A 10,618-nucleotide genomic window follows, 5' to 3' on the forward strand; every position below is an offset into this window, starting at 1 on the left:
AAAGAAATTTTTTAAAATTAAAAATAAATATTTGCTGAAACTTAATTTTAAAAAACAAATATTTAACGTAGTTAAGATAATTTTCAAGAAAATACTTTTTCACCTAGCATAGTTACCTATATATAAAGATATATTATAATCCCGTAAGAGCCCTGGCTTTTAATGTTACAATATGGAATATGGCAATATTTATACTGAAATAGCCCATCAAATTGAGACATTTAAATTTTAATATGAAGTTTGTTAGTTTTAATGTGTTTATAAATTATGCATACGGATATACATATGCAACAAATGTATAAACACATTAAATACACGTATATATTTGTATATATGTATATATGTGTGTGTATATATGTGTGTATATATGTATATGTGTGTATATATGTATATGTATGTGTATATATGTATATGTATGTGTGAGTGTGTTATGTTCTCTTTGTTGTACCAAATAACATTTATACAGGGATTATTTCCTACTTCAAACAGTTTATTAATATTTTTCATTAAGTCAAATCGTATATGTATCAGAGAGCTTTCGATAACTGTGAGAAGAGATAAACAAAAAAACAATACCTAGGGTCCTTAGGAATCTAACATTCAGATTCTAATCATAGGAATAATCTGGAATCAAGTTGAGGTCTACATAGATCAAATGAATTACTCAAGTTCAAAAAATTGTCAATGAATAAAACCAGAAATTTGTAGAAAGGAAATGAAAGAAAGGGTATTAAAATTTAATGAAGAGTGTCTTGGTCAATGACTGTCTGAGGCCAGCATGTGGGTGGTAAAGGGCTTTACCAAGACGGTAATGAGTTTAGAAAGATAAATTTATTTAAGGGAGGAGGGAGAGATACCTTGCAAAAGAGCAAAAGGCATGCCAGCAGAGGGAAGGCTGTCTGCTGTCTGCAAAGGGGCCGGGGCTGGAAGGGAGTTTTATAGGATTATGCTGCTTAGGCTGAATGCTTGCAGACCGGATGCTTGGGTAGACCATGAGCTGAGTGCCTGTAACCTTTTTGTGGTTGACTCCATTGCTTGAAACTTTCTCTCCTCTCTATCCCTGTTTCTTTTTTCTGCTGGCTAAGCCCCTTTTTCAATTTTCTTTTAACTCATTAGACTCCACATTTTCCCCTGACAGAACAACAATAACAAATCTTTGGCCTTTGGGTGGAGGTCTCATCTTTCAACTACTTCCTGCTGGCCTGGGTTGTAGAGCTCACCCTAACTGTGGTTGTCCGTTTGTAAGCAAATTTCTGAATGTTATCATATGTAATATGGCAATATGCATCTTGAAATATTCCAACAAATTGACACATTAAAATTTTTATTAAAAGTTTGTTAGTTTTAATATGTTTATGTTATATAGATATAGATATAGATATAGTGTGTGTGTGTGTGTGTATGTGTGTGTATTTCTGAGTGTGTGTTTTCTATGTTGTGCCCTGTGGGCTGTGGGTCTTATATTATGGGACATAAAATGTTGGGCATGGCTGGAGAATGGAACTTCGGGAGAGAGAGCATGTCCCTACAGAACTGATGTCCAGCCGAGTCTAAACAAGATTCGTGGGGGTCTCTGGGGACAATTAGCTGACACCCTTGCATCCTTAGAAGCTTAGTGTGGAATTGCTGCTTGTTCCTGATAGAGATTTTATCATTATTCCTCTGATGGGCTTTGCAATGAATGATAACTACCTGTGTAGGAAGCATCATTGCCTCCAACAAGATCATAATTTCAGGATCATTTTTAATTGGAGAATTTGGGGTGGTTAAAAGTCCTCTTTCCCACCAAATGGCTGCATCGGCATGAACTACACGAAAGGCATAGGCTAAGTCTTTGATAATGTTAAGCCTCGTGCCTGCTTCCAATTAATTGTAAGGTCAGAGCAGAGTTCTCTTTCTGGACTGAGGTGATGTTGCCTGGTAGAGGTTATGATTCTGTTTCTTTAGTGAGGCTAATGATAGCATACTCTGAAAATCGGGTCACCTCTAGCATGAAGCTGCTGCCATATGTGTACCATGTGGACTCTGGATTTGTGAGGAGAGTATTCCAGAGATTTAGAGTATGCTACAGGATAAATCTATGGTTTCTCGGCATAAATATTCAAGTGATCCTTCTGCATTTTGTTCTGGTAACAGGGTGGCAGGATTGAGGGTATGGTATGGTTTGATACTTTATTCTGATGCCTGTAGAAGGAGTGTTTGATATTTGCTAATTTGGGTATTTGAGATCCAGTGGAAAACCTTTGAGTTTTGGATATTCATTACCTCATATAGGCTGTATTACATGGCCAGAGTTAGCTGGGAGGCCTCCTCAGCCAAGAGGGCCATGGATTCTAGGCCCTAGAGGCATCAGGGCCATCCCTGTGCTACCAGTTCAGGGGCTTTTGATAAGTAAGTGATAGGTCCTTGGGATGGTTTTAATGGTTGGGCTAGGACTCTAATGATAATACCCCTTCTTTCATGTACAAATAGATAAAAAGGCTTTCTAAGATCTGGCAAGGCCAGAGCTGAGGCAGCAGTGAGGACTCATTTAAGGGTTTCTAGGGCATTGTCCATTTCAGAGTTTCAGTAAAGAGGCTCCTCCTCTGGTCCTTGTAGCACCTCATAAAGAGGTTTTGCTATGACTCCAAATTGGGGCATCCAAGTGCAAGCGAAACTTGCCATTCTCAGGAAAGAGTGTAACTGCTGTTTAGTGGATGGAGTGCACATGTTCAGGATAAGATTTTTGCAGTGGTCAGAGAGACCTTTTAAACTGGTGGTGAGTGTGAGTCCCAAGTTGAAACTTCTGGGTGGGGATTTGAGTCTTAGGAGGAGAAACTTTGTAGCTTATTTCTGGAGAGTTTTAACAGTATTTAAATCTGAAACATTTTCAGTTGGGCTGAAAATAAACAATTCATCAACATATTAAAGCAGTGCACTATTAAGAGAGAGTTGGAAGGTGGACAGGTGTATTAGTTCATTTTCACACTGCTGATAAAGATGTAACTGAGACTGGGCAATTTACAAAAGAAAGAGGTTTAATGGGACTTATAGTTCCACATGGCTGGGGAACCCTCACAATCATAGTGGAAGTCAAGGAGGGGCAAGTCACATCTTACATGGATGGCAGCAGACAAAAAGAGAGCTTGTGCAGGGGAACTACTCCTTATAAAGCCATCAGATCTCATGAGATTTATTCACTATCAGGAGAACAGCACAGGAAAAATCAGTCCCCATGATTCAAGCACTTCCCACTGGATCCCTCCCACAACACATGGGAATTCAAGATAAGATTTGGGTGGAGACACAGCCAAACCATATCAACAGGTCTTTAGTGAGAGCCTGTCCAAACAGATGTGGGCTACTGCTAAATTCCTGAGGGAAGACTGTTCAGGTTAATTATGAGAAACATGGCTAGAGGGATTTTTGCCATTCAAAGGCAACAAAGAATTGGGAGTTTGGAGGTACTAGAATGCAAAAAAGGCACCTTTAAATCTAATTCTCTAAACCATGAGATGCCAGAAGGAATCTGGCCTAAAAGGGCATAGGAATTGGGAATGATGGGGTGTATAGGGATTACTGCCTTGTTGATAGCCCTTATGTCTTAGACCATTCTGTAGGTGCTGGTTGACTTTCTGATTGCTAAGATTGGGGAGTTGCATTGTGATTTGCAAGGGCATCATAATCCCATGCTCAATTATTTTTTCATTAGGGGTTCTAGGCCCATTTGGGCTTCAGGCTGTAAGGGATATTGGGGTTGCGAAAATGTTCAGGTTCTCAAGATGGATTTTTACAGGGTATGCAAACAAAGAACGTCCTGCAATGGAGGTATCCCATACTTCTAGAGGAACTTGTTGTAAAATGTAGGATTTTAGGAGATTGGAGCTTTTGGTGGCAGGAGCTAGTAATGCTAATATTGGGCAGGCATGCTTAGGGAATTGAAAGCTAGTTTAGAGTTTTGTCATTATATCTTTTCCAAGTAGGGAGATAGATAGCACAGCTTGATAAAACCAGGAAAGGGTAAGTAAAAACATTTTTTCTTCAGAGTGCACAGTAAAGGGGAAGTGAAGCGTTCCTGCTGTAGCTTGCTGTCTATGCCAGTGAGGATGATTGAGAACCAATAGGTAGTTCTGGAAAAACTAGGGCTCAATAAGTAGACTTTGTGTTGATTAAAGACTCAATCTTATTCCCTGCCACATTTAGAGTTACCTGAAACTCAGCTATGGAGATGGTAAATAGAGAAGCCTGGGTGGCTTCTGAGCCTCATCTGTGAGCAGAGTTAGGGGCATTTGCTGTTGTCATCCTCCCAAATTGGCCCGTAATGGGAGTTGTTGGTTGTGGGATGGCCTTCCCACATGAGGAAGAGGTCCCGTTTCCAATGCCCCACTTGTTTGCAGTGTGCACAGGGGCCACCTGGTGGCCTATGAGGAGCAGAAGATGTTTCAGGAGGGTTTGGGAAGTTCCGGCTAATATTCCCTGGTTGATTATAGCAATAGCAGATAGAGGGCTCCTTAGTGGCCATCAGGCTCCAACCTGATGGCTGACCTGGGGTCCTTGGTATGAACAGAGAATTTGCAATGGCAGCAGCCATGTAGTGAGTCTGCAACTCATCTCTTTCTCAATCCTTCCCATCTCGTTTGGCCTGCAATATTTCTTCCAGATTATTAGAGACCTGAGGGCTGTGTCCAGCAAAGTGGGGAAAGGACTTTTTGTTTCGTGGTCTAGTTTCTGGAGTTTGGGCCTAATACCTGGAGAGGCTTGGCTGAGAAAATGAACAGCCAGAATAGCGAGGGCTTCTTAGGGTTCGTATTAGTATATTTTCTCATGGCTTTGGCCAGCCTGGAGTGAAATAGAGTTGAGTTTTTATTTGACCCCTGTGTTACCTCTCTTAGTTTGGGGTAGTTGCCTGGTTTATGACAGCCTTTTCCATGCCTTTAATTATAGAAGTAATCATATAATTACAACATTACCTGCCAGCATTTTCCTCATGGTAGCCCCATATAGGATTAACATCAGGGACTGTCATTCTCCCTGGGCCAGACTCCTGATGGTTCTGGTTATGAACCTCATCTGCCCATTGTTGAGCTAGATACGGAATTAAGGTCTTCTCTCATGTATACAATAGGTGGTAAGGTTAATATAAAGGTCCTGCCATTTGAGATTAAAGAAAATGTAAGTCCTTTGAATTCCTTTGTGAATTCAAAGGGTCCTGGTTACAGGAGCTAAACTTAGCTTTCTTTCTGAAAGAGGACTCTGATGGTGCCTAGATTCCCATTTGCCCCTTCTCAGTGTAGCAGAATCTTTTCTGGGCCCAAAATGTAATTATAACTGACCCTGGCCTAATATGTGAAGTGGAGAAGGGTCCCTTAAGGCAGAGGCACTGGAAAACGACATACAAGTTTGGGATGACGAAGAGAAGGTGAGGGAGAAGGAGCAGGTAGAGTAGGTATACTTGAATGTGAAGGTAAATTTTCAGGGGAAGAAGATGCAAGGGTGTTCTCAACTGGTCTATCTGGATGGGCAGAGTGGAAAAGGGCAAAGGAAGGGTCATCTAGAATGTAAGAGAAGTCAGTGGGTTAGAAAATTTAGCCAAGCACATTCAACAGATTTGGCAGAGATCAGGATCCCGAGAGAAAGTCATGAAAGCCTGGACATGAGGAATTTCAGGCCATTTAGAAATTTTGTGACAGAGCACATCAAGTTGCAAAAGAGTATTAGAATCCAAAGTCTTTTTCAGAGACCAGGCTAGTTGATCTGGGAGGCCAAACTACATTATACAGAAAATTAGGCACTTTCTTTTGAGAGTCTGGGAGCCAAATTTGTCCCAATGTTTTAGGTTGCAACCCAGAGGTGAGTCTGAAGAAATAGATGGAATTTGCTCTATGCTGGGACTGAAAAACTTTCTGCTGCTTGGAGCTAATGTCCACTGGGGACACAAACTGCATTTTCACTTGGGCATCCTGCCATGGAAAAGGGTTCCACTTGTATCTGCTCAGGGACTCTGAGACACATTTTCCAAAGGGGAGTCCCAACTATTGTAAGAACTGGCACTGGGGCCAACGGCCTACAGCACTGGTGCCAATGACACTGGGGCATTTTGCTGGATGGCCAGTCCAGTATGAAGAACGAGGGAGAAGGGTGAATTCAGCCTGAAACCAGCTAAGGAGAGGGAATGACAACGGGAGATTCATCACTTTAAAGCCGCTTGAGATCACATGATTTGAGAACCTCTGAAGCAGGAGAGGAAGTTGTCTTCACGGGAGAATTAGAGCAAGTGAAACAGAGGGTCTAAGTCTCCTAAAATGTTTGTGGAACCACACAAAGGAATTGGGGACCTCTGACCAGAGAGGGTAAGAGAGATTTCCTCCATTATGGGCAAGGCAGCCAGCCCTGTTTACCCCTTGGCCTTCAGGAAACACCAGGGGGTGGACCTGGCCATGTATCATCAACTACCAGAGGGCTACTATAAGCTGGCTGCTGGAAGGCTGAAAAAAAAAAAAAGAAAAAGAAAAAAAGAAAAATGAACCTAGGTCCCTCACCTGAGCAGGTGGTGGTAGTCACACATTTCTGCATGGAAACCCTTCAGTTTCACCAGAGTGTAGCCCTGGACAGACACCTTCAGTTGTCTCTGTACTTAGACACTGACCTCCAAGGGTCTTGAGTAGAAGGGGAGAAAGGGAGAGGAGAGTCCGCATATGGAGAGATTTCCCACAGGGAGAGAAGTTCTGTAGGGGAAAGGTCCCTGTAGGTGCTACCAAAATGTTGTTGTCAAAAACTGTCTGAAGCTGGCATGTGGGTTAATTAAGTGATTTACCAAGACAGTAATGAGTTTAGAAAGTGAAATTTATTTGGAGTAAGGTGCAGAGATATGTTGCAAGGGAGCAACAGGCAAGAGAGCAGAGGGAAGCTTGTCTGCTGTCTGCAAAGAGGATATTTTCCTATCTTCTTATCTATAAGCCCTGTTCAAATCTTTTTCCAAATTTTCTATTAAATTGTCTTATAGATTTTAGTTTTGAAGTAATGTTGAATATAAGATCTTTATCACACGTGTGTGTGTATATATGTATATATGAAATCAGTTTAAAGTATTTTCTTCTATTGTATGGTACATTTTTCACATTCTGAATAATCTTTTAGATGATAATTAATAATTTAAATATAATACATATTATCAAATTTTTGATTTGATAATGCAGGAGCGGTTTATAAGGTCATGCTGTTTAGGCTGAATGCTTGCAGAGCGGATGCCTGGGTGCAGGTGGGCTGTGAGCTGAGCAATGGTTAACAGGATGCTTGGGTGCTGGTGGGCCTTTTGTGGTTGACTCCATTTGTTGGAATATTCTCCCTGTTTCTATTTTTGTCAGCTAAGCACATGCTTCAGTTTTCTTTTAACTCCTTAGGTCTCCACAATGAGTAAATATAGGCTGTAGCAGAGTTTATGGAGGTTAAGCAGTATGTGGTACCATAGCAAGAAGTTCAAAAATATCTAGTAGTCAACGTCTGACTTCCTGATTGAGTATATATTCCTTTTGTATTTGTTCAGTATGATGGCCTTCTCATATTTTCTGTTTTTCTTTTACTAAAATGTAAGTCAGTCACTAAAATACACACACACAAACACACACACACATCTGTATGCATGTATCTACATACAAACATGTATTTGAAATCTAAATATACATTATCATGAGCAATGATAAAGTTTTACAATATAGCTTTACCCTTCATGAAATATTGAACAAAGGAAAATAAAAGGAGTTGATAACATCAACAGATAGATGTCCGTCTATTACATCTATGGCCTTCATGCTAAATGTTTATATGATGGTAGGTTTTTATAAGCTCTATTTGCTTTACTTCTTGCCAGCAATCATAACTTTGAAAAACATTTCTGAATTTTTTCCCTTTTTGGTAATTTTTTTTTACAAATATAATAAAGATTTATTAGACAATCAAGTCATTATTCAAGACCATGGGGCATATGTTTAACATACTTGTCTTACTGAGCATGATATATAAGTATGCTTGTATATATTTTTTGGATGTATGTATATCTGAAAGTACTAAACAAAGTAATTTTTTTTTCATTTCATCCTCTTAAAACGTTTTCTGCTGAAGCTGTTTTGAACACAGTTTGTTCAAGAATGGTTCTAAAGGAAAGTAGATGCTACCTTTAGAAGAAGAACCCATGCCATTTAATTACAAACACCCACAGGTTTTGTGTGTGTGTGTGTGTGTGTGTGTATTTGTGTGTATGTGTGTGTTATGTTCTGTGTATATTGGGTTGCAATATAAAATTTACTTCTATCTTTCAGTTGTAGTAAAAAAGTTTGAAAGTCATTGTGGTAATTTACATAGTCCTCTCTCCCTTCATCTTTCGGGGTAGAGAGCAATATACAATTATTTAAGCATTTTTTCAAAGGAGACTTGTGCTGGCTGAAGAAAAGATTTAAATTGTTGAATTAACAAATTCACACATATAGTGCCATGACTCAGGACAAAGTGACATTGTGGAATGGAGAAATTGCAGTGGAATGCAGTGGAGGAAGAATGACCTTTTGAAAATGATGTTAGGTCAATTGAATATACAAAGAAGGAAAAAAAACTTCCTCACATTCTACACAAAAAAACAATTTCAGATAGAATGTATATTAATCTAAAAAGTACAAAAGTAAGTCTATTAGAATAAAATGTAGGGGAATAATTGTCTTTCAGTTCAGTAAAGATATCTGAAAAGGAGTGCAAAAATTGCTACTATAAAGGAAAAATTTGATAATGTATAGTATATTTAAATTATAAATTAATCTATTATTAAGAATGTGAAAAATGTAACATAGAATGGAAAAAATATTTTAAATTTAATTCATATATACCTATACATACACACATATATGATAAAGGTGTTACATTCGACCTTGTTTCAAAACTAAAATCAGTAAGACAATCTAATAGAAAATTTGGAAAAAGATTTGAACAGGGCTTATAGACAAGAAGATATCAAAATATCCAAAAAAAGAGAAAAAAGTTCTAACTCATCAAGCAATAGTAAAATGCAAAACAAACTCAGAATGAGATGCTATATACAACACAACACCCACCAGGAGAGCTAAATGAAAAATGCTGACAAGACCTAGTATCGGCAAGAATGTAAAGAAAACAGAGCTCTTACACATTGCTGGTGGGAGAGTAAATGTGTATACCTATTTTGGTACTGTCTTTGGAAAACTCTTTCAGAATATGTCTAAGAGCTCATGATAGGCATTCTCTATAAGCAACAATTCAGATTTAAGGTATAAAACCCATATAAACAGATAGAGTCATGTAGTCATGTTCCGCATAACCACATTTCAGTCAGTGATGGATCCCATATTCTACAATGGTTCAGTAAGGATATAATGGAGCTACAAATTTTCCATTGACTAGTGACATGGTAACATTTTATCACAAGGCATTCCTCACATGTTTGTGGTGATGCTGGTGTAAACAAATCTACTGCTTTGCCAGTCATACAAAATGATAGAAAATATAACATGTACAGTACAGAACACTTAATACATAATATAATATGTATAGTACAGAACACACAATAATTAATGGTAGTCAATAAACAACAATGTTACTTGTTTATGTATTTACTATCCTACATTTTTATTGTTATTTTAGATGATACTCCTCTGCTTATTGAAAAAAAAAAAGTTAGCTGTAAAACAGCCTCAGGCAAGTCCTTCAGGAGATATTCCAGAGGAAGCTATTGTTATCATAGGAGATGACAGCTTCATGTGTGTTATTGCCCCTGGAGATCTTTCAGTGGGATAAGATGTGGAGGTGGAAGACAGTGATATTGATTATCCTGACCCTGTGTAGGCCAGGGCTAATGTGCGTGTTTCAGTCTTTGTTTTTAATAAAAAAGTTAAAACAATTAACAAGTTAGAAATATAAAAAAGCTTGTAGAAGAAGGAAATATAGAAGGTAAATATTTTGTGCAGCTGCACAATATGTTTGTGTTTTAAGCTGTTAGCACAAAAGGATCAACAGTTAAAAAATTAAATTTATAAAGTAAAAAAAAAAAAGTGACCATAAGCTAAGGCTAACTTATTGTAGAAAATGTTTTTAATAACTTTAAAGTACACTAAGTTTGCAGTTTTATGAAGTCTAAAGTAGTGTACCATTATGTTCTGGAGCTTCATTTTACTCACGACTCATTCAGTGACTCACAGAGCAACCTCTAGGCCTGCAAGCTCTATTCATGGTATGTGACCTAGAGACACATACCACTTTTTATCATTTATACCAAACTTTGTTGTGCTTTTTCTATGTTTAAATACACAAATATTTACCAAAGTGTTACAATTGCCTGCATATTTGGTATAGTAACATATTGTTCAGGTTTTAGTGTACTTCACAGGCTGGCTACATCATATATCCCAGGTATGTAGTAAGGTTTGTGTAAGGTTTCTATGTACACACTGTGACATTTGCACAACAAGAAATTACCTAATGATGCATTTCTGAGAATGTGTCCCCATTGTTAAGCAATACATGACTATATAAATATGTTTACCAAAAGAAATATACAAGAATTATTTACGGTTTCACAACTATAAGACCCAAACCTTGGAAGCAGCCCAGATATATATCC

The 10,618-nt window shown here is 38.3% G+C and overlaps 1 annotated feature.

Annotated features, from left to right (window-relative positions):
- Window positions 4,266-4,435: an enhancer, noted in NCBI's record as "experimental_66244 CRE fragment used in MPRA reporter constructs". NCBI's record gives its function as "activates a minimal promoter by MPRAs in K562 erythroleukemia cells, with activity observed for both the introgressed and non-introgressed 3:162761029 variant alleles {active_cell/tissue: K562}" and the evidence as "EXISTENCE:reporter gene assay evidence [ECO:0000049][PMID:34662402]".

This window comes from Homo sapiens, chromosome 3, assembly GCF_000001405.40.
Source record: "Homo sapiens chromosome 3, GRCh38.p14 Primary Assembly".
In the NCBI taxonomy this organism is placed as follows: Eukaryota; Metazoa; Chordata; class Mammalia; order Primates; family Hominidae; genus Homo; species Homo sapiens.